This window comes from Homo sapiens, chromosome 6 (genome assembly GCF_000001405.40).
Source record: "Homo sapiens chromosome 6, GRCh38.p14 Primary Assembly".
In the NCBI taxonomy this organism is placed as follows: Eukaryota; Metazoa; Chordata; class Mammalia; order Primates; family Hominidae; genus Homo; species Homo sapiens.
In genome coordinates, this window is record NC_000006.12 from 38,166,888 (window position 1) to 38,190,182 (window position 23,295).

General features: G+C 52.4%; 1 protein-coding gene and 1 long non-coding RNA gene across 8 annotated transcripts in view, besides 3 other annotated features; one reads left to right on the forward strand and one right to left on the reverse strand.

Annotated features, from left to right (window-relative positions):
- Window positions 1,303-1,933: an enhancer, noted in NCBI's record as "H3K4me1 hESC enhancer chr6:38135966-38136596 (GRCh37/hg19 assembly coordinates)". NCBI's record gives its function as "activates a minimal SCP1, AML or CMV promoter by ChIP-STARR-seq in naive H9 embryonic stem cells {active_cell/tissue: H9 hESC(naive)}" and the evidence as "EXISTENCE:reporter gene assay evidence [ECO:0000049][PMID:30033119]".
- The window catches only part of BTBD9 (BTB domain containing 9), a 471,479-nt gene continuing 449,747 nt past the window's right edge, over window positions 1,564-23,295 (reverse strand). For all 7 annotated transcript variants that reach the window (NM_001099272.2, XM_047418145.1, XM_047418146.1 and 4 more), the window contains one exon: window positions 1,564-8,295. In NM_001099272.2, coding sequence (NP_001092742.1) covers window positions 8,098-8,295 — 198 coding nt within the window. In that variant the 3' untranslated portion in view covers window positions 1,564-8,097. The remainder of the gene's footprint in view (window positions 8,296-23,295) is intronic.
- Window positions 1,934-2,565: an enhancer, noted in NCBI's record as "H3K4me1 hESC enhancer chr6:38136597-38137228 (GRCh37/hg19 assembly coordinates)". NCBI's record gives its function as "activates a minimal SCP1, AML or CMV promoter by ChIP-STARR-seq in naive H9 embryonic stem cells {active_cell/tissue: H9 hESC(naive)}" and the evidence as "EXISTENCE:reporter gene assay evidence [ECO:0000049][PMID:30033119]".
- Window positions 2,566-3,197: an enhancer, noted in NCBI's record as "H3K4me1 hESC enhancer chr6:38137229-38137860 (GRCh37/hg19 assembly coordinates)". NCBI's record gives its function as "activates a minimal SCP1, AML or CMV promoter by ChIP-STARR-seq in naive H9 embryonic stem cells {active_cell/tissue: H9 hESC(naive)}" and the evidence as "EXISTENCE:reporter gene assay evidence [ECO:0000049][PMID:30033119]".
- LOC124901315 (uncharacterized) lies at window positions 8,291-22,605 on the forward strand. Its single transcript, XR_007059571.1, has 2 exons — window positions 8,291-9,190; window positions 10,429-22,605. It is a non-coding gene; the product is annotated as an uncharacterized LOC124901315 (long non-coding RNA).

Sequence of the window (23,295 nt, forward strand, 5' to 3'; positions counted from 1 at the left end):
CCGACCAGGGCCTCCTGTGCTCAGAACTTTCCACTGGCTCCCACCTCAGAGACAAGCCCGATTTTCCATAGGGATCCATGAAGCCTCCTCACCGCCTCACACCGGCCCGCCACCCCTCCCCCTCCTCCGCCACACCAGCCAGGAGGCATCGAGCCTTCTTCCCCTGGCCCCCTCCTCCTGGAAGTCTCCCCCAGAGGGCCACGACTCTTGTTCCCCACCCCTCAGGGCTTTACTCAGCTGTCACCTTCTCTGGAAGCCTCTCTGGGCCACGGACTTCAACATGCACGCCCAGCCCGGCATCCTCTCCCTCTGCACATGGGCTGGGCCACATTCACACTGACGCTGGTGTCTGCTCCCTGGAAGGTGAGGGAGGGCAAGAGGGGCAGCCTCCCTGCTCCATCCCCAGCACTTGGGAGGCAGGCGGCATGGGGGGGTGGTGGGGGGGTACAGTGGCCTGGGCGGGGCGGTGGCAGGACAAAGCCCAGTGCTCTCTGGATTGGGTTTTGTCTTGTTCAACACTCACGTCAGCCAATTATTGGCAACAAGTTGTCAGTTCTGGAAGATCGAAGCTAGGTGGGTGTGCTCCCGAAAGGATGCCTGCATGGTTTGGAAATGGAGCACCTGACTTGGAGCCCCAGTGCTCGGCCAAAGCCACCAGGTGGAAGTTAACCAAAAACATGGAGAGTCCCTAGTGCAGGTTCCAAGAAAAAATTCCACTGAGAGGAGCAGACCCCTGCCTGGTTTCCACGTGACAACAGCTCAGGAGGAGGCCAAGGCTCCAGGTGGCCGGGGTCCCTCATGTTCAGCGCATGGAGCCTTGGGCCCCACATGCACCAGCGGAGTTGCTGGAGACTCAGGCCCAGTTGTGGGGTCACAGGAGAGGGCACTGGATCCCAGACGGCAGGGCCTGCAACACTGAGTTCACACACCCAGGACTCGAGATTGGGGCCAGGGAGAGCGGCAGCGCCTGCAAGGGGCCGCCTCCTGGCTCACTGGTTCCCTTCCCCGCATCTCCCCTGGGAAGCAAGATAAATGGGGGAAGTTGCTACCAAATACTCACGGGCTCATCAGGTAGAAGAAGCAAGACATGAGGAAGAAAGCAGCTGGGGCTAAGCTCAGAGGAGGAGAAATGACAAGGGAAGGGGACTGGGTTCAAGGTGGTGTTTCCTAACCCCCCAAAAATGGCATCGAATAGGCCATGGGGTGGGGTGGAGAGAGTGCCACAGGAGGTGGGAGGGAGCTGGACAGCCCCTCCACCCTGAGGGAAGGCCCTCAGAGCCGGTGACAGTGCTGGCCCAAATCCGCTGGATCTGCCCACGCCGCCGCCCTGGAGCAAGCCGGCCTCTCTGTGCCTGCTTTGCTCCAGGGCTGTCTGCCTCCCTCCACAAGGCAGAGGAAGCGAGCGGGGGCCTGGGTGGACACCCCTGAGTGCCTGGGCCTGCAGAGAGGGCCGGATGGCAGTGTCCATATGAGGGCACTGGGGCAGAGGGGCTGACCCTGGCCTGGGCCCCCTGCTTGTCCCTGGGCATCGAGAGGGGTTGCTGCAGAGAGTGACGACTCGAATACAGCACAAGTCACCACTTTATTTCTAAGAGAAAACCTGCATTTTCACACACATGGACTCAGGGGTTTCGAACACACGGTTTGTACATCTGCCCGCTTAGGTTGCTCTGCAAAATGAGGAAGAAGCCGCATCGTGCTCACAAATAATACACATTCCACATAGCAGCACAGCCTTTTGGGCATCTTTGGAGTTTTAGACGGAGCTTCTGGAGTCACAGAGCCATTCCCAACCCAGGCCTGGCATGGTCCCTGCCCTTGCATCAGAGTGGCCTGGGAGGTACACACATCTTTACAGGCCCAGAAACGCCAAAGGCTGGGAGGCTCTTGTTCTCTGGTGAATCCGGATTCAAGACAGGCTTCGCAAAAGCAGCTCTTGGGCCGAGCTCCAGGCCTAGCCCTGAGGACCCCTGGCCTCCTGGCGCCCCTCCAGAGTCTCACGCTTCTCCAGGCACTGGGGGGTGGGGAAGGGTGGCCTCAGGGACATAAGGACCAGGGAGCGTGTGATGGAGAGATTTCTCACTGTTCTTCTGAGGGGGTGCAGCCTCTCTGAAGGTCACTGTGGAGGGCGCACCAAGGCCTGGAGAGCCTTGGGGAGAGATCAGGCCCCACAGACCTGGAAGCTCTGCCCCAGTATCCCCCAGCCTGGGCGGCCGGGCTGTGCTCCCTGAGGACCTTACTGGCAGCACCCTGCCCTGCTGACCCTGGAAGCAGCTGATTGAGGGGCCTGGGAAGACCCCATGGCCTCCAGCAGGTCTCAGAATGACTCCTGTAGTGGCTAGGACTAGGGCACTGGCCGCACCCTCAGGCCCAGGTGGGAAGTGTGGGCTGGGGGTAAACCCAGCAACTCAGGACTAGCAGCAGCCATCAGGGGCTGTGGTGCAGGAGCAGCCACCAGGGCAGCACCAGGAGGCAAAGGCCCTGAGGGAGATGAGCTGGTGCCGTCCCCTCCCAATTCCGCTCAGATGGGCACCCTCGCCTTCCTGGGACATAAACCCCTGGGGCTCATGTGGTGGGGAGCAATTTGGCAGCAGACGGACTAATATCAACGTCTCCAGTGACCCAGGGCCCAGTCCCTGCCCTGAAGGCTGCTCAGCCCCTCCAGCCCCCGTCCCGCCTCGCAACGCCTCCTCTGCGCCAGGGCCAGGGCCTCTCCCCCTAGTGGAGCGACTGTCCACTGGCTTTCAAAGGCGGCACTCCTCAGCTGTCACAGCCGCAGTGACAGCCTTGGGGAGGCTGAGGGGGCTCTGTCAACCAGGGGACACTAGTGGGGACAGGTGTGTAGCTCCTGGCTGCAGGGCCTCCTCCACCCCCCCTCCCCCCCGCCCATTCAGGGCTATAAATACTCACGGACGCAAATGGTAAATGCTCCCAGACATTTATCATAAATTACAGGTGGATGATTGTGAGTCTTCAGGCCATGAGGCCTCTTGGGGACTATTTCAGTTCTTTAAAAAAAAGAAGACACGAAGCTGATGGGGCAGGAGGGCCGTTCAGCCTGGCTTCTGACTGGAAGCTCGCTGGGTGCAGCAGACTGGCCTGGGAGATGCCAGGGTGCTGGGTGGGTTGGAGGCTGGGCCAGGGAGCACCGTGACCAGTGGTGGTCACAGAGGACGTGAACGATGACGTGGGCCCAGGTCGGAAGCAGCCAGAGCCAGATGAAGGGCACCTGGCCCCTTCCGCGAGGTTGGAGCATTATGCCAGGAACAGGTGTTCCCTGTACACTTTTTTAAGTGAGTAAAGAGAACAGTGATTTTCAAACAATGGTGTGTCGGGTGGGGCGGCTCTTCCATGCACCTGTCCCCTGCCTCTGCATGAGCCCAGCAGAAAATCCTAGCTGGAAGGCCGTGGGGCTTGGGGCCAGCACTGTGCAAAGGATGGGTGAGCACGCTGTCCCTCGGAGCGTCCTCAGTGGTGCAGCCAAGAGCCAGGAAGGGCACAGCCTCTTTCCTCCTCCCTGATGGAAGCCAGAGACCTACCACAAACAAAGACCTGCTGCCTCCGCCCCTCCTCCCTCCGCCTCGCCTCTGCAACCGGTCTTTCCTCCAAGCAAACCTTTTCCGCGCCCTTCACCATTCACTCTGCAAATGACCAGGGCCTCCAAATCCCGTCCAGCCCCAGGTATGACTGGATCCGTGTCAGCGAGAGAGATGGGGGCATTCCAGTTGTCCTGCATGCCATTTAAACCTTGCCCTTCCCTCTCTTCTGGAAACTCTGAGCAAACACCAGGCACTAGGACAACTTCTAATTTAATATTATAATAATAAAAGCCACGGTGGCACAGAACCATGAACTGCACTTTAAATTCCTAACTGAACTCCTGCCGGGGCTGTTGTCAGGAAAAATATGCAGAATCAATGGCTGCAGCTGCCAAAACAAATGGAGTATGCCCACCTCTGCCACGGCATCGCTGCAGACCTGCCCTGCCCGGGCCGTGCCCGACCTGGGCATCGCTCGGAGGAGCTGGTCACCACATAGAAGGTAAGATTAAAATAATAACACCGACAAGCAAGCACTAATGAGGAAAAACTCCTGGAAGGAAGCAAATTTAATTTTCTTTTCCTCTTTGACACCTTTCTTCCCTGTCCAAAGGGAGGTTCTTAATTGAAGTCTGTGAGGGGAGCGCTCCATCTCTTTATCACCAAGTGGCCTCAGTACACAGAACGCTCGCTTTTTATTGTAGATTATACCTTCCTTTTCCCCCTTGGCTCTGGAAAGGATAAGTGATTACAATTTTGTTATCTTCTAAATTAAAAAGAAGGTGAAGTTGACTGGGCTGGAGCCATCTGCACAGCAGTTTGACAACTGGGGCGACAGCATAATACTGGGCAATTTTTTGCACAATTCAAAAGCTTTTTTTCTCTTTTTTGCCAAGGAATCAGTTTAACAAACATCCTACTCTTGCTGAAAATAATTTCTTTTCCCAACTCTTCTAGGAATAAAACACTTTTAATGTATTTGTCAGGAATCGACACTTCATTTAATAGGATTTAAAAAGTGACAATTTAAAGAGCAATTGAGAAGAGTCCCACATCCATCATGGCTTGTGCTTCTAACTAAAATCAAAGGAATGAAAGCAGAAAAAGCACTGAGAAAATGGTAAAACGGGTGTGTGTGTGTGTGTGTGTGTGTGTGTGTGTGTGTGTGTGTGTGTGTGAGAGGGAGAGACGGTGGGGGCGGGGGGTGGTTCATAGCTGCTTCAAGTCCAAAGTGCTCACAACGGCTCCTGTGAGACTGCCCTGCTGGGTGCTGGCTGCATGGACACAGCTGCTGCCCAGCACACACCCTACCTGCCCTACACTCTCAGTCCACCCCAAATGACCCTCCCCAGAGCTGCCAGAAGGTGACTTTGAAGGCTTTTTTCCCCAAAAGCTCCAATGAAGTTGCCTTTCTACTCTCAAAAAAAAAAAAAAAAAAAAAAAAAAAAAAAAAAAATAATAATAATAATAATAATAATAATAATGAAAAGTGAAGGGTGGGGGTGCTGGCCACCTCCCATTTCTTTGCCTGGGTGGTGGTGACCATGGCGCCCTTGTGTCCTTTCCATTGGTTACTGAGGACCATTGCCCTCATGGGCCCAGGCCACAGGCACCCACCTGTCAGCCTCACCTGCCACCTCTCTCCATGTTGGCTTGTTGCCCCTGGGGCTGGCCTGGGCATGGGGGAGCTTATCTCCCCGACCAGGGGCTTGGCCATGTCTCCTTCACAACCCCCGCTCCCCACGGACTGAGCCTCCACTCTCTGCTGGGCTGAGGGCTCTGTGGTGCCCAGGAGCCCTCCCAGCCACGTGCCAGCCCATCCCATCATCAGCACTTGCTTTTAGCTTCAAGTGTTTAGGTCGCTTTGGTCCTGGTGGCCCAGGGGAGAAGTGCTCTGTAGGACCAGCCAGGCTCTGGGGAACTCCAGGCTGCCCGGGGACTTTCTGGTAGCCACTCACTTGTCCCTGTTCCCTGGAGATGAGGTCCTTGCCCTGGTGTGTGGTGTGACACACCTTGACTTGGCCTCCAGGCCCAGCTGGACACACGAAAAGAGTTCCTGCCCCAGTCAGAAGGCCCCTCAGGGAAGGGCAGTACCCCTCCAGCCTGGGAAAGGAGGTGAACCCGTGTCCTTTTGGAGTCCAGGGCAGGCTCCCAGCAAAGCGAGGGGGAGGCGAGCTGGCAGCGCGGCTGTGAGGGAATGAGACTTTGCCATCAGTCCTCACCAATGACATCTACTGTTAGTGCCACCCCATCGTCCCCATACTTCTCTTTATCTGATGATAAGGGGCATCTTTAAAGTGCTAGAAGACAGGAGGGACAGAGATCTGGAAGGGCATGCCCCGAAGGAAAGAACCGCCACAGGCCAGGGAGCTGCAGATGTGGGTCTAGGGCCGAGGCTTTGCAGCGTATTCCTTTTCAGATGCGAGGCCGAGCTGCCAAGCTGCTATCTCGTTCCCGGAGCACAGGAGGGCTCTGCGTGCTCTGTGGGCAGGGGACTGGAGGGTTGCAGATGCAGGGCCGGGCAGCTCCTCCAGCACCCCCACCAGCCCACCCTCTCTTCCCAAGGTCAGCAGCATGCTGCTTCAGGCCAAGGGCCTCTGGGCAGGTGATGCCCATGTTTAAAAAGAAGCATGTGAATGGCTCATTTCAAAATGTTTGAACTCTGCCCTTGATATGACTGTCTGGCTCCTTTGTCCCCATCTGGGTAGAAAACACACTGGGGAAGGAAGTGCTGTGTGTGCAGGAGCTCTCTGGCTAATTGGCAACCCGGGGCTGGGGGCTGACAGAGTCAGCAACCATGCTGGAGGGCCCCCCACTGTGAGCGGGCGCCCACCGTTCCTTACAGGAGCCTCCTCCCATTATGAAATGCCTGGCATCCCAGGAGTGTTCCACTCTCCCACACAACAGGGAAGTGGCAGAGATCAGAGCTGAGGGGATAGGAAGCAGCTCAGCCCTGCAGCTGGAGCTACCGGGGAGGATGGAGAGCTGCAGACCCTGGCTTCTCCTCAGGAACGTGTCCACCCTGCCCCGGTAGCCCTCTGATGTCTGCCATCCTGTGTTCACACGGAAAGACAGTCTTCCAATTTAATCACGCAGTTTGATGCTACCCTACTATTTCCATATGGACAAATCACTCAAAATCAAGTTAAACTAGGAGGAAGCGGCTGACCCGTTGGCTCTTTCTAGAGCGCAGCTGATATGTCTTTGACACACCTGAAAGGAAACTCCCACGCCCTCACCCTCCTTTGATCAGGGTTGCAGGTTGGCGCCGAAGACCCAAGGACTGCAGTGCTGCTCACGTGCCATGCCGTCCTGGGGAGACTCCCAGGCTGATGCTGATGGCGACAGAGGCCGGAGCTCTGGGGACAGCGGAGGGGCAGGCAATGTTGTGCGCAGTTACCCAGGGCAGGCAGCACTGGAATGGAAATCACTAAGTAGGAGACGGAGCCACATCAAGCCACCATCGTCAAATGAGGTCCTTTTGATGAGGATTAGGAGAAAAGCTTCTTGGAACTGCTATTTTTCAGTCCCCAGTTGAGTACTGTGGTGTGGGGGAAGCACGGAGTCCCAGTTCTGCGTTCCTGACGCTGATGGGCAGGTGGCTGCCTCTCCAATGCTTCGATAAACACAACTGGAGGGGCAGCTAAGCCACGGCAGTCCCCGGCAGGTTTGGCCACGCCAGAACTCGGTATATGTTTATCTACATGGACTTCGGAACAGTGAATTAGCAGCGGGCATAGTAACTATTTCCTTGTCAGCCTCCCAAGCTTAAAGGCTGGATCCATGTCAGGAATGACAGGTGAGTAACTCAGCCACACGAGTGACTATTAACTCCAGTGTCCACAGGTTGATTTGCTTGTGTGCATTTGTGGCACTTCCTCTGTGGCCCAAGTGCCAGGATGAGCTGCATCCGTGTCTCATTTAGGAGACATGCACGATGGGTCTCTGTCCCCGCAAGCTGAACCGTTCAAAACCAAGGAAGGAAAATTATAGCATCAAAAGGGATTAAAACTAGTGATTTGCTGTTTGAGCATTTCAAATAGATCCGGAACACCTATGATTCACTGAGTGGAGAATAACTAAAACAAATAAAAAATCATTTAGTTGCCAGGGCAATGTATTCCAGCAGAATGAACACTCTATGGAGGCCCATTCCTAAAGGGTGCCTCCAGGTAGCAAAGGCCCAATGGCTTTCTCCTCCGCCTGAGTGTTTGCGTGCCATTTTTGTATTCCAACACAGGCCTGTCTATGACTTCCTCCTGTTCCCTGCGCCTGGGCTAGATTAGAGAGGTAGGGTGTTAATGGTGGACTTGATGAAGATTGAAGACCCATTTTCTCCCCCTTGAGACCTGCCTGATTTGGATAAATTGAGAAGAACAAAGCAGCCCCTTTCTGTCCTTGGGAGAAAACCTGTTCGGTGTCTGCTTTTGCAGCTAGGTCGGCTCCTCCCTGGAAAGGGGCAGAGGTGGGGGCAGTCAACAGAGACCCCTGCTCAGGGAGGAGACCGTTTCCTGCCGTTGCCCGAGCCCACCAAGTCACACCAGGCCCGCTGCCTCCTTTATTGGTGCTGCCGGTTGGGGGAGCGTGAGTTGGAGCCTGGGCTGGAGGGTAGTGAGCTGCCACTAGGCGCCCGCAGCGCATGGGAGTCGAGCTGCTGACCGGCCAGGCTGGTGTCCCCTGTCCCCGATTCCTCACTATTTTCCTCCTTCTGGCTGCTCTGCTGCTCTGGACACTCAAAGTGGACACAGTGGAACACCTGGGAGAGAAAAGGAAAAGACCCCATGAGTGAAGGGTCAGCATGCGGCCCTGGAGTTGCCGCAAGTTGGGATACTGCCCTGCCCAGCTTTGGGGGCCACCACGAGGGAGTTAGAGGAGGTCCTTCCCACTGCCCACGCCTGCCCCGGCGCAGACACCTGATGGCAACTAGCATGCTGTAAACACATTTTGATCAGTCAAGAGGAAAGGAAATGAGCCAGTGGCCCAAAAGTTAGAGACACCATGACACGGATTCCCACAAAATCTTCACACTGGATTACTCCGTTTTTGCCAACCTTTGTCTAATGGGCTCTTTTTTCTTTTTTAATTAATTTTTGTATTTGGCAGTTGGGTTAAAAGTCAACAGGAGTTGACTGGTGGTGGTGGTGGTGGTGGTTCGATTCTGTGAGGTTGTGGAAAGCAGGTCCACAGATAACGTCCACCATCTGTGTGGCATCTGCGTGGGTTGTCTCTGGGTATTCTGGTTTTCTCCCGCGTCCCAAAGCTGTGCACTTGAGGTTCATTGGTGTGTCTGCAGGGTCCCAGTCTGAGTGCATGTGAATGTGTGTGAGCGTGCCCTGCAATGGCATGGTGTCCTGTCCTGAGCTGGTTCCTGATGCATAGTTCTCCTGGCCCTGCAATGGTTGAGCACAGACCCTGCTAAGCAGCCGTGCTGGGGAGTGGACTTCAACCTCATGTGGCTCCAGCCAGCCTGGAACAAACGCCCCCAATGTGTAGAAGCCAGCCACCTGGCCGACAGTCACCCTCTAGGAGCTAAGAAGAGTTTGCATACCTGACAGCAGGTCAGCCTGGAAGCACCATGAACTCTGTGCCAACACCGTGCCAGCACTGTGCAGACAGGGCACAGCACCGAGCTCAGCGCCCCGCAAGCAAGGGTAAGCCATGGCCCTGACCTGGAGAGTAGACAACGTGCTTCGGGGGGTCCTGACATGCATGTGTGAGCTGTGGGGTGCAGGAGAGAAGGGCGGGGTGGGGGCTGTCGTTGCCACTGCACGAGCATGTGTGCACATACATACACACGGCCTTCTACCGTAGAATCAAGTTCACAGAGACAAATGTAGTATCAACTGCAGAATTATATTGAAAATATAAATTCCACGCTTACCTCCCTGCATCACTGTTTTTTCCATATTCCCACTTCAATTCATTTATTGACCACTGTTTTAAATTTCACATTTTCTCATATGAAGACTGAGACCGTGTCTTCCTGGTGTGTCCACTCTGTTTTGGGAGCTGCCATTTTCTCTTAGAGGGAGCTGATTTCTCTCCTTATAGGGCAGGGGCTCAGGCACGGTCCTCGCCTCCTGCAGACCCCTCACTGCCTCACGGCTGAAGCTGTCCCCACTTAGCCTATGTCTCCCTCCTTTTCCTTTCTTTCCTTCCTTCCTTTTTTATAAAATCTCCTTCTGTGGGTCCATCTGCAGGGCTTACCAGTCAACAACTGGAGGGGCTAGGTCCTAGGGGAAGGCCTTATGTGGAGATCTGAACACTATTTGGGCCATCAGCTCTGCCCTGGGCTAGGCCAGGGGAATCTGAGAATCATCCTCTAGGTGACAACCATTAATCCACTCCTTCATCAGCTTCACAATCTTGCAGCTCTTCAGTAACAACACCGCCCTGGGCATGTCGGCCACTCATGGGTCACTTGCCTTATAAGTGTTCCTTCTTCCACACCCAGGGATAGGTGAGGTCAGGCTCTGCGGGGCCAGGACACGCCTTGAGAGTGCAGTCCCGGTCCTCAACACCCCCCCCACTAAAGCTTCTCATAACCCAGCAAATACGCCTTCTCTTTTGCAGTATGACCCAGAGCCATATTCTGTTCCCACGCCCACACGCAGGACTTTTCAGGACAGGCTGTGTTTTACTGCTCCTTCCCCCTGCTGACACAGGAGCTCTTTATCCGGCCCCACCATGTTCTTTAATTGGTTATTTGTGTAATCCCTGCTCTCCCTGCTCGGTCAATATCTCCGGAGGCCGCTCCCCAGAGCCTCAGGCTGACACTAATCCTGGAATTGACTTACGTTTGTCCTACTCCTTATTACCTTTTCTCAAGCTCACTCCTCTGGTATTGAATGGTTTTTCTCTCCTTTTGCTCTTGCAACGTTCTCTACAGTCCTGTTAATTTCCAGGCCAGCTCTTCCCCCACCGGCCCCGCAAGCCTTCAGGGTGCCTCCCGCTCCGTGGCCCACCCCGCTGCCTGCCTCCTTCTACTGATCTGTCAGCTCCGATCTGACTCAAGGACCAAGGCTTAGTCGTCCTTCTACCTGCTCGGGTTCTTGCACAAGAATAAACAAATCGATAAAAACCCTGGATTGAGAGATAAAGTTAAAAAAGACCTCAGAGTGGCCTGGTGCTGCGGCTTGCTCTTCACAGCCGGCCTCTCACTGGAGGAGGGATCAGGGCGGGTCTCTGCTCCGCACTGCGCTGGTAAGAGCCTGGGAAGAGATGCTGTCTGTGGTGAGCACGTGATAGACATTCCACGACCCGACCTGTCGGTGCCCTGGTTCTCATTGTTTCTTCTCATTTCCAGCTGCATTTATCTCTTGTCTAACTTGGGCAGTGTTAAGGGCACAACTGTGTTTAGCCCATTAGCCAATTTGTTTTCAGATAATAATGCAAATGGCTGTTACTCCCAACACACCTAACAAGACTGACAGCCAATCTCAACTGCTTCTGTGTTTTCCTATGGATATTTCTTCTAAAGAACTCCTAACTATCTCTCTCCCTGATGCCACAGAGCTCACGGCAGGCCCTGCCATCAAGTTAGGGGACCCTGGAAGCCCCTGGAAGCCCTAGGCCGTAACTGCCTGACTGAGCTCCCTGTGGCTCTGCAAGGAACTGGGGCCATCTCAGAGCTGCGTCCCAGTCTGTGGCCCCAGAATCCCAACTAAATGAAGTGCAGTCTCCCTGAGCATCTCCACCAAGCCACGCAGGTGCTGCCAGATTCAAAGGCAATACACAGGCAGGAGTGAGTTACCTGTATTAAATCACAAACTGTGTGGCGAAGATTCTAAGTGGAAAAGAGTGTTTTTACAAATGGATAGGCGGGTGAAGACACAGAACCTGCCATGGGTGGGGGTGGGCAAGCTACAGGTGACAGGTGGGGAGGGAACAGCCTCTGCACACCAACAGAGACAGGATGAACATCACATATGCAGCAGACACGGCCAGAGGATGACGCTGCACACGTGAGCAGGGTCAGGAGGTACACACGTACCACAAGCATGAAGCACCTCCTACGTGCCTGACTGGGCGAGGTCCCAGCTGCCCTCAGAGGGTGTACGGTCCAGTGAGGCCAGCAGACACATAAGCCAGGGAGAAGGAGCCCCAGGGCATAGAGGAGTGGGACCCAGCCAGGCAGGCGGTCAGGGAAGGCTTCCTGGGGGAGGAGACATCTGAGGTGAGTCTGGAAGGAAGAGGCAGCCAAGCTAGAGAGGATGGAGGAGGGGGGGACTTGGTGTGGAAGAAAAACAGGAAGAACTACACAGGTTCTCAAGCCAAAGGGTGGCAACAGAGCAAGGAGGGCCTGGGAGCAGCAGGGTGTGGGGGGGAGGGGTGGGGCAGAGGCCACACCCAATGGGACAGGGCGAGGGCCTGGCCTTAAGCTGGGCAGGGATCCTGATACTCTTGGACAAAGGAGGCTATTTATTTATTTATTTATTTATTTATGAGACAGAGTCTCGCTCTGTCGCCAGGCTGGGGTGCAGGGGGGCTATCTCAGCTCACTGCAACCTCCGCCTCCCAGGTTCAAGCGATTCTCCTGCCTCAGCCTCCTAAGTAGCTGAGACTACAGGCACGTGCCACCACACCCAGCTAATTTTTGTGTTTTTAGTAGAGATGGGGTTTCACCATGTTGGCCAGGATGGTCTTGATCTCTTGACCTCATGATCCGCCCACCTCAGCCTCCCAAAGAGCTGGGATTACAGGCGTGAGCTACCATGCCCAGCCTACGAGACTCTTTAAAAACTAATATTTCTTAAACTAAAAAAGTTATTTAAAAAGGAATATACATTTGTGGTGACAAATTCAAATAACAAGTATTTTAAAAATCTAGATGACAACAAACCTTTAAACCTTGGAATCCCCTGATTTAGCAATTTGGAATCAATAGGCAGGAGTCATTTTCAAATCAAGAAAGATCAGAATTTGGTAACAGACTGGATGAGACTGATAAAGGAGAGCGCCCACAATGACTCTCAGGGTTCCCTGGAAGGGACGGGGGCGGGCATACTGCGGTGCTACAGAAGGTGGCAGCAGCAGGTCCCAGGGCTCCAGTTACAGCAGCTCAGACCTGCACTCATGCCAAGGACTCTCACAGACCCTTTCCCTGCAATGATTTCACTGAGTGCAGACTCCAGCAGGTGCGCCCACAGCGCAGCTCCTGCCCTCAGGACCTCTCAGGCAGTTGGGGGCAGAGGCACCTCTGTGCAGGGGCCTGTGTTCACTCTTCTGCAAATGGCGAGTGGCAGGCTGGGAATGAACCTCAGGGCTGTGCCTTCCTTAAGCCTGGACTGTTCCACTGTATCAACATACCTGCCTCACACAAACAATTCTACCAGCACGGGATCAGTAATATTTCATACATCAGAGGTGTGTGAGAAACTAATTTTGCCTGGAAGAGGGGTCAGGGCAGGCTACAGAGAGGAAGGTGTGCACAGGTGAGGCCTTGAGGGGTTGGGAGGCAGGGAGGGGAGCTGCTTTCCAGGCAAAGGGAACGAGGAGAAGATTTCCACATAAAGATCTGGGCCTTGGCACCTCACTCCTGGCAGCCTGTCTGTAATTCACTCTGGTCACCCCTCTGTGGAGCAGTGTGCCTGCCTCAGTCATCTCTGTTGATGATTTAAGCCTAGCAGCCTTCAGCCAAATGTGGCAACTGTGTAAGCCAATACCCAGCTAGCTCCTGGACCACTCGGATGCCCATCAACATGTACGAGGCTGGGGTTACTTCTCCTGGGATCCCAGAAATCCTCAGATTTGCACGCAATGCAAATGGGCATTCGGGGGGGCCTGTGGGTGGTCCCGATTCTGTTCTTGGGAGCGGGAGTGAAAAGCAAGCCTGTCGTGGGGAAACTGGCACCTTCACTGGTGGCCACGCTGCTGGGGCTGGGCGTGAAGCTGCCTCCGGCCCTTGGAGAGGAGTGTGAGGGAAGGGAGGCGGCAGTGCTTTTTATACACAGGAGCTGGAGGAGGGTGATGGCAGCTTGGAGGAAGTCATCACTGCCATGGTAGGGGGGAAATCTGGAAATATTGGGCATGTGGCCCTCCCCTTCCCACCGTAACCCCAAGCTCCTCAGCCCACTTCTTTCCACCAGGCACCTTTGGGCTTCCCTCTAGGTGGAACAGCCAAGTCCTGAGTCTCTTTGCTCAGAAGCTCAAGTGATTCAATTTCTTTTCTCCAAACTTTCCCAAGACTGCAATACCTCTTGGAAAGGACGTGACCAAATGTGGCTGAGACACACTGGGCAGAGCCGCACTACTCATTTATGCAAAACCATTACTCTGGCCGCCGCATCAGTCTCCCTTCCCCTTTTCAGCAATCATGTATCCCATTAGCCTGTTTGATTGCCGCTGCTCACAAAGGGGCGCCTTCGCTGAACCGTCTTCAATGGCCTCTGGATCTCTCCCCTGAGAGAAGCCGGCTAATTTGGAATGTGGTCGTGTGTATGAATCCGACACAGCCTCAGTCACAATCGGGTGTCCTTTTCTGTAGCTGCTGTTTATGATCACTTTGCCTTGCCTCTCTGGGAGCCATAATTCACCACATACTGGAGATAGGCTGGGTGTTCTTTTCCCCGTGAATCCTGGACAGGATGTACACAAATGTGCTAGCCCCTTCTTGGTGACCAGGCTAATTCCTCAGTGGCTTGGTGGCTGCTGCCTCTCATTAGAGGGATTCCCTAAGCACTATTTGCTTGACAAATTTTCAAGGTTTTTAAAAGCAGAAGCCTTTGCTAATTTTCCCAAGTTGGCCTAAGAGTCCACTGTGAACTGCAGCAGAAATTGGGGAAATTTAATAAATGTTGATCAATGACTCTGCCTTGCTTTCCTGGTTCCTCCTGAATAATTTCCACAGACTGCTTTCATGCCAACCAATACAAATAGGATTTCTGATCCAAGTTTTCAACTTACAAATACAAGTTGACAAATCTTTATAAAATAGATATCTACCTCTTGATGTCTGTCCATAAGTCAGATGCAAAGCCATGACTTCTAACTTACACTCCCCTAAAGATCCCCTATTTCCCTTTCACAGTGGCTGATGTGGTGGCATCACACACCCACCCAGCGTTCAGTGACATAACAGATCCTGACGATGGTCACCATTAACATCTCTCTTATGCTCGCCTCAGAGCAGAAGGTAACAGTCCATCTACAGACTGCAGAGATGTTTTGTTTTTGTTCTTTAAAAATGAAGACGAGTGCCTCCAACAAAATATCCCTTTTGATAAACCTTGGTTTTTTATGTGCATCTGAACAGCCCAACACATTGTTTTCAGTTAGGGGCCGGGCATGGTGGCTCACACCTTATAATCACAGCACTTTGGGAGGCTGAGAGAGGCGGATCACTTGAGGTCAAGAGTTCGAGACCAGCCCGGCCGACGTGTCAAAACCTGGTCTCTACTAAAAATACAAAAATTAGCCAGGTGTGGTGGCAGATGCCTGTAATCCCAGCTGCTCGGGAGGCTAAGACAGGAGAATTGCTTGAACGTGGGAGGCGGAAGTTGCAGTGAGCCGAGATCGCGCCACTGCACTCCAGCCGGGAGACAGAGCGAGACTCTGTCTCAAAGACAAACAAACAAACAAACACAACAAAAAACAAAACTAGGAATTACTTCATAGGGAGACATTTCCAAATTGCGAGCAACAAATTTTCAGTATTGCTTAGGGTGATAGGATACCCAAATATTTTTGCACTAAGTATGGAGGTAAGTTTCTGGGTGACAATGCTTATGTACGGCAACAGCTTTTAAAAAAACTTTACAATATCATTTTCTCATATTCACATAGGCCAGGATATCCACAGATAATTGGAACTCTGATGCTTGGAAGGTTCTGGAAGAAGAGGCTTTCCAATCCCTATCACCCCAGGCAGCCCTGGAATTCCTGCCCTGTTTTTTATGTGTGTACACTCCAGAGTTCCAGGGAGAGAGTTACTTTCTTGTCTTAATGGATTCGGCTATAGAGTGGTAGAGGTATCTTTTAGTTATTTTTTTGAAAAACTAAGAAACAAAAAAAGGGAAGTGTTCTTGTTCGCAGGCTTCTGGGATGCCTGAATCTCCCCACCTGATAGATGTGGCCTCACCAGGGCCCCCTTCCCACACCAGACAGGCACCAAGAGAGCCTAGCCATGGCCCTGCTCTCCCCACAGGGCTGGCCCATGTGTCTCCAGCTGCCTGGGCGGTTCTTCACTTTGTGTGACCAGGCTCCGCATGTACCTTCTGTCTCAAAGGGCTCCAGCTGCGTCGAGGCTTCCAGCATCACCCCTCACTGCTGGCACAGCAATGGGACACATCTGAGGGGACCCTCACAAGCTGCTGTCTCCATGCGTCTCACTGCTGGGAGGCTCCTGGGTACTCATCTGCCCAGGTCTGGGGTCACTTTCTCCCAGGCCAGTTGAGGATGGAGAATTATTGTTGCTCCAATATGACAGGTCTAAGGATTGTGCAGTGTCTGAAACAACCATATGTGCTCAATGTTGTCCTGCTTTTCCTCTCTTTTTTTCCAATAAAATCTTTCATAACAAACATTTAAATATAAAGAAGCCCACAAAAGGTCTTCTTTTTTTTTTTTTTCTGAGACAGAGTCTTGCTCTGTCGCCCAGGCTGGAGTGCAGTGGCACGATCTCGGCTCACTGCAAGCTCCGCCTCCCGGGTTCATGCCATTCTCCTGCCTCAGCCTCCTGAGTAGCTGGGACTACAGGCGCCCGCCACCACACCTGGCTAATTTTTTAATTCTTTTAGTAGAGATGGGGTTTCACCGTGTTAGCCAGGATGGTCTCGATCTGACCTCGTGATCTGCCCGCCTCGGCCTCCCAAAGTGCTGGGATTACAGGTGTGAGCCACCGCGCCCGGCCTAAAAGGTCTTCTTTTATAATTATGAAACAAACTAAATATTTTTCTGCCTTTTTTCCTGTCTCACTGGGAAGGAAGCTTTAAGATCTAGTTCACTCTCCTTATTTCAAAGGCAAGTGTCCTGAGAGGCAGGGAGGTAAAATGACACTGGGGCCACACAGCTGGCTGGAGGTGAAGCTGGCACCAGTGCCGAGGCCCCCTCCCTTCCTTCCACTCACTGCTCGCTCCCCTCAGTGCATCCTCTGCCTCCCTGCCTGCCCAGTGCTGGTTCATGGAACCAGCTTCTAGAGCCTCCACACCCCTTTCTTCTTAGCCTGGCTCTTCTGAGGCACCTGGCTTTGATCATTATCTGCAGGTATAATCCTTAAATCCAAGTTTTTGTTTGGATGGCTCAGCTTTCACTGCCTCTCCCCCAGCCTATATTTTTGTGCAACCGAATGCTTCCAGACTCTCTCATAACCATCAGAGCTCTGCCATTCTCCAAGGGCATGGCAGTCACAGCCTTGATGCCATCTTCAGTTATTCCTTCATCTGGCTTCAGGCTGTCACAAGTGATTCCTGAGAGCTCATTCCCTTTGGAATCCCACACCAACGCTCTGGCCCATGGTCTGATTTATGGAGGGGTTACTGTGTGCCAGGCACTGGGCTGGGTGCTGAGGACACAAAGATGCTACAACACAGTCTCTGCTCTCAAGAACTGCAGTGTGGTGGGGAGCCAGTCAGAACCTCCTGCTTTTGAAGTTTCCATGAATGTAATCCTAGTATACGTATTCTTTGGTGTCTGGCTTCTGTCCTTCAACACGCCGTTATGTTCATCCACCCACAGTCCCTGCAGCCTGTTGTATGAGATGCTGTGTTTGCTTACCCATCCTCTGTGGATGGACGCTCGTGGTATCCCGTTGGGTTCAGGATGAACAAGGCTGCGGTGACAGCATCCTCACTCTTGCCTCCTAAACTGGTACAATGCAGATTCACAGGTACCAGGCTGCCCGCTGGGCTTGACTATCCCGGCTGTCCCTGCACTGCCTCCTCTCTGGCCCAGTACCTCGCATGCACCATACAGGGCCTCCGTGCTGCCATCTGAAACCTAAGTTTGTTTCCATTATTTCTATTCCCAAGCAGGTTTTCTTTGTGGGCATCCATTTCCAGTTGCTGGAACATGAAGCCCCTGGAGGGCCAGGTTCCCTCCCACACAGAAGTGGAGTCTGAAGGCTGGAACTGGTGCTCTCTGCAGACCAGGAGCTTTTGCAAGGAGAGGGCTGCCTCTCCATTTGCTCTCTCTGTGCTCTGCCACAGAGCACAGAGAGCGCCCACTGGGGGTTCTGGCCCTGGGGCCAGCATGTGACTGCTTTGAGGTGCTTCTGGGCTGAGACGATGGTCCTCTGGAGGATGCTGCCGGGGAAATCCTCGGGGGGCCAGAGAGAGTGGAATCAGACCTGGGGCAGGGGGACCTCGGAAATAATTATCACCATGCCAGGAAGGAGCACTTGTTTCATTTTTTTCTTTAAGAGTCTGTTTCCCTGTTTTGTTTTTTTCCATTAGAGCCACATGTTGCTATGGGAACGAGGGTGGCATGGGAGCCCAGAGCCACTCACTGGTCTGACCGAAGCCAGTAAATAAATTCTGCCTCACTCCAGGCCCTGAGCCGAGTGGTCCTGGAGGGCAGCTCAAGTAGCCACTTGCAGACTTTCTGTCCTGCTGCTGTCGGCCCATGCAGATGCTCCTCTGACACGCTCGTGGGCTGATCACTCTCCTTGGAATAAGGAGCGGTGAGCCTGCAGAGTGCTCTGCACCCTCCCACCCTCCCAGGTCCTCTAAGACATAAACTCATTCATGGCTCCCAAACTCCAAGGGCCAGGATCACTCGATCCGTTTTACAGATCAGGACTCACCCTCCTCCTTCAGGGCTGGCTGCTGTTTTCATTCACTGATGTCTCTACCATCAATCAGGTACAGCCATTTGAAATCTCACCCAGAGTTAAGGGGCTTTTTAATGGGGATTCATTTCTACCAGGTGGTGAAGCTGCCATCCCCTTAAGGAAGGGTCCTGCCTCAGTTTCTCCCCAAGATCTAGCACAAACTGGTGTACACAGCATGCTCAGAGCCACCTGCTTATCAATGCCTGACTCATAGAGTTCTGGGCCAGGGTGCAGCTGGGCTCATTTTGCACATTGCCGTCTATTATGCCTTTGTGGGAGACGCAGTGGCCTCGATGTTACAGCCAGACTGCCTGGATTCACATTCTGATTCTGCCACTCAAGACTGGGTTGATCTCGTACAAATTAGTTAACGTCTCTCAGCCTCGGTTGCCTCTAAACTTTTTACTGCCAAAACTGTATGCTATAAGGCACAGTTTTCCCATAGAAATACCATGTGGGACAAGAAACAGTGGTGCCTCCCCCTCACTGAGGAAACCCCAATTCTGGCTCAGATAAGATTTGTCCCCTTGCTTTCTTTTTCTTAGCAGTTTTACCACTTGTGTATGCATGAATGTTGTAGTAAAGCTTTGCCTGCTTTTGAAGTTTCCATGAATGTAATCCTAGTATACGTATTCTTTGGTGTCTCGCTTCTGTCCTTCAACACGCTGTTATGTTCATCCACCTACAGTCCCTGCAGCCCGTTGTATGAGATGCTGTGCTTTGCTTACCCATCCTCTGTGGATGGACGCTCATGGTGTCCCGTTGGGTACAGGATGAACAAGGCTGCGGTGACAGCATCCTCACTCCTGCCTCCTAAACTGGTACAAGAGCTTCGTTGGAGAATACAGATAGGAGTGGAAGTGAATGCTCAGCCATAGGGTGAATGTGTGCATATGCTCCTTTAGGACAAAACACCAAACTCTTCTCCAGAGTGACAGGGTCAGTCCATCTGCCCACAGCACTGGAGGAGAACTGCCCACTGCTCCACAATTTTGCCAACACTTAGTATTGAGTTTCCTCATCTTTAAAATGAGGATGAGAGTGGAACCTACTTCATATATGAGGATTAAATCATGTAATAAATATAAAGGGCTGGAAGATAACCTGGCACACAGTAAGTGCTCAGCAAATACTAGCTACTATTATTGTAATTAATAATAATGATGATTATTATAAGGGTCCTAAGCTAGGAGATGCTGAGATATCTGGTGCACATACTTTTCCATTTACAAATGTTTCTGGTTTAAGAAAATCCTCCATATGACTATAGAAACTCTGTATTGGAATGCCACGGCCTCTTGATAATGAAAAGTTGGTTTACTACATCTTTTCCTTTATTGCTTTCTTTGACTGACTGACTGGGAGAGGGAGAGATGGGTGTACAGATGAGATCACTCACCCATTCATTCAGTTAACAGGTCCTCTATGCTTACACATGCCAGGCACCACGCTAGGTGCCAGGGATACAAAGATGAATATGACACAGCCTCTCTCCTCACTATATAAATTCAGTAAGTAAAATGGAACCTGAGAGCTGCCTAAAGCCTGTCAATACCATCCTCAGTTTCTGCTATTGACTTGGTAAAAGCTTTCATGTAGGTTCTTGTGAGCAGAAACCCTGTCTTTCTGAATACATTGCAGAGAATTTCCTTTTCCTACAGTCCTTTTTAACCCTCAAGACTGCTTGTGGGCCCCTGAGCTCCCAGCGTACTGAAAAAAATCACTCCAGAACTTTCAAACCCACGTTTTTATAAAAGCCATAAAAAGAAACAGGCGTAGCTTCTGTTTCTTGAACATCACTGCCTGATTTTCATGGGTGCACAGACTTGATCTTATTTACTCCCAGCCGGGTTTATTTAAGGATGTAGGCATGTGCCTTTGCTATTTGCTCAGATAATTAGTAACATGAAATGGAAGGGTTTCTGGGAGACCCCGCACATCAGAACCAGTGTGGCTCTGAGCACAGTCTTGGGGGCTGAAACTAAAGACTCCCTCGACGTTTGTTAACGTTGTTGACAAGGCCCAGTTTATTTTAGACGTGAGAAACTTAGAAGAGGAGCAGTGTCTGTCTCCCCAGTGGCTCAGAGTTGATTAGCATTGAAGGCAGGTGAACGACCACACAGGAATGACCATGAACTTGCTAAGCTGGCAGCCGAGACCACCTTAAAGTGACTGAGGAAATGGTCAAGAAGGACCTCCTTGGCCACAGGCAGTGGGGACAATCAGATGCATGGAAACAATGGAAGCGGAGGGTGGATGTGCTGAAAGACACACCGACATCTGTCTGCCATCTAGTGCTGAGCATGGGAGGAAGACAAAGGAGTCGGGGGAAGCGTTTGAGGGTAAAGAAAAAGCCACACGTGAGCACTGGGCCAAGCACAGGGGAGCTTCCAGAGCCAGGCGAGCAGGGAGCAGAGGACGACAGAAGCACACAGTGGGGGGGAGTGAAAGTGGAGTGTGCTGAGGAGTTCAGATAAATGATAAGGATGATGCTGAGTACACAAGGAACAGGGGTCACAGAAGGAAGTGGTGGAGTCTTTAACAGGTAAGCATTGGGGGAATTTACTGACAGAAGTCATAAACATAGCTAAAAAATTAAATGAATTCGTTGCTGCGGTGCTCACAAAGGAAGATGAGAGACAGATGCCAGCAGCAGACGTACACTTCCCAGAGGAGAGGGATGGAATGCCGCAGGAAATCAGAAGCGTGCCAGAGCAGGTGATCAAGAAATCTACACTCTCAGACTGCCGAGGCCACTGTCACCTGAGAGCTGGACGGATCGGAGGGAAGCGGGGAAAATTAGCATGCAGCAGACGGAGACTGAGCCTTTGGATGCAGGAAGACCTGGCCGACTGGAGCAAGACAGATGCACACCTACAGCAGGCAAGAAATCCCAGTCCGCCTTAGCTCAGTCAGGCCAGCCTGGGGGGCCTGCTTCCACGCACTGCCTGCTGTCCGCCTTCTCCTATTCCAGCAGCTGCCGGGGGTGTTTGGAGTTCGGGGCAGTTTCCATGGTCCCTGTTGCAGAGCTATCAACCCACTGAGCTCCTGCCTCCAAGAATGACTTCAGGTCTCTCTAAACAGCCAGCTGCTCTGCTAGCTGCTACTTACACACTGTCCAGGCCACTTCCCAACTTTTGCCAAACTGCCCAGCCACCATCTTCTCTTGAATGCTCTTCCATAGGAGCCTCCATGCTGCGCTTCCCCACCAGTCCCTGCTCTGCCCGCCTCTCTCTTGATGGGGAAGCACCTGCAGAAGACAGGCCTACCTGGGCCATTCGGCAAAGCGTGTGTTCACGCAGATTTCCCTTTATTGTACACACACAGACAGACCTTTCCATGCCATAGACCAAATCCATCGATAGTTTTTGAAGCTAGCACAAAGTCTCTGGGTTCACAAACACTGAGTAGCTAAAGGGAAACAGAGTGTTTCTCTGGCTCTGACTAAAACGAAGGCCACTGTTATGGACTGATGCTTGTGTCCCTCCCAAATTCCTCTTTGGAAGCCCTAATCCCTAATGGAATGGGATTAGAAGTGGGGTCTTTGGGAAATGATCAGGTTCAGCGGAGGTCATGAAGGTGAAACCCCCGTGATGGGATTGGTGTCCTTATAGGAAATGAGACTGAGCGCTCATGCCTGCGCCCTCTGTCACTGTCTCTCGCGAAGTGCACACACCAAAGAAGGCCGTCTGAGGACAGAACCCAGAAGACGGCCCTCACCAAGAACCAGAGCCTGCTGGCACCCTGACCTCAGACTCCCAGCCTCTGGGACTGTGAGAAATCAATGTGTTACTTTAGCCAACAGAATAGCCAGCTGAGACAGCTGCTGATGTTACTTAGCAAACAAGCAGGGACAGACAGAGGAAACCCTGCATCCTCTGCCCTCCAGGCCACGCTCCATAGTGAGAGAGGTACCCTGACCCCTGTTTTTGATGGCACAGTTCTGGCTCCCATGGGACTGTGAATCAGGGTGGTGCTGCACTCTCATCTCCAGCCTCCTGTCCTATGCTGCGGCCCTCCCCAGCTCCACGAAGTGCTCTTGTCCATGCGGTCATATCCTCTAGAGCTGTCTCTCCCAGGAATCCTGCCTGACCCAAGTCATCCTCCTTCCCTGATGTGACCCCGTCCCTCACGCCTCTGAACTCTGCCATACTGGCTTACACATATTTCCATTGTTCTCTAAGATAGGTGTTACAACATTTTTCAAATAATGTCCCAGAACCCAGTATGCTGCAGTAAAGAACATTCTCTGAGGGTTTGCTGTATTCTTGATGCCCAATAAAGTTCAGCTTTATTGTACATTTTTTGTTTTTTGAGTCAGGGTCTCACTCTGCTGCCCAGGGCTGGAGTGCAGTGGCATAATCATAGCTCACTGCAGCCTCGAACTCCTAGGCCCAAGCGATCCTCCTGCCTCAGCCTCCTGGGTAACTGGGACTATAGGTGCACACCACCGTGTCTGCTAATTGGTTTTCTTTCTTTCTTTTTTTTTTTTCTTATTGAGATGGAGCCTTGTTCTGTTGCCGAGGCTGGAGTGCAGTGGCACAATCTTGGCTCACTGCAACCTCGGCCTCCTGGGTTTAAGCAATCGTCTTGCCTCAGCCTCCCATGTAGCTGGGATTACAGGCACATACCACCATGTCCAGCTAATTTTTGTATTTTTAGCACAGACGGGGTTTTACCATGTTAGCCAGGCTGGTCCCAAACTTCTGACCTCAAGTGATCCACCTGCCTTGGCCTTCCAAAGTGCTGGAATTACAGGCGTGAGCCACCAGGCCCAGCCTTTTTTTTTTTTTTTTTAAGTAGAGACAAGGTCTCACTATGTTTCCCATGTTGGTCTTGAACTCCTGGGCTCAAGCGAACCTGTGGCCTCAGCCTCCCAAAGTGTTGGGATTACAGGCGTGAGCCAATGCACCTGGCTTATTGTGCCTTTTTTTGTTCTCTGAGAATGAGATCCTGTTCATTATTTATTTTATGACTTAAGATGATTCC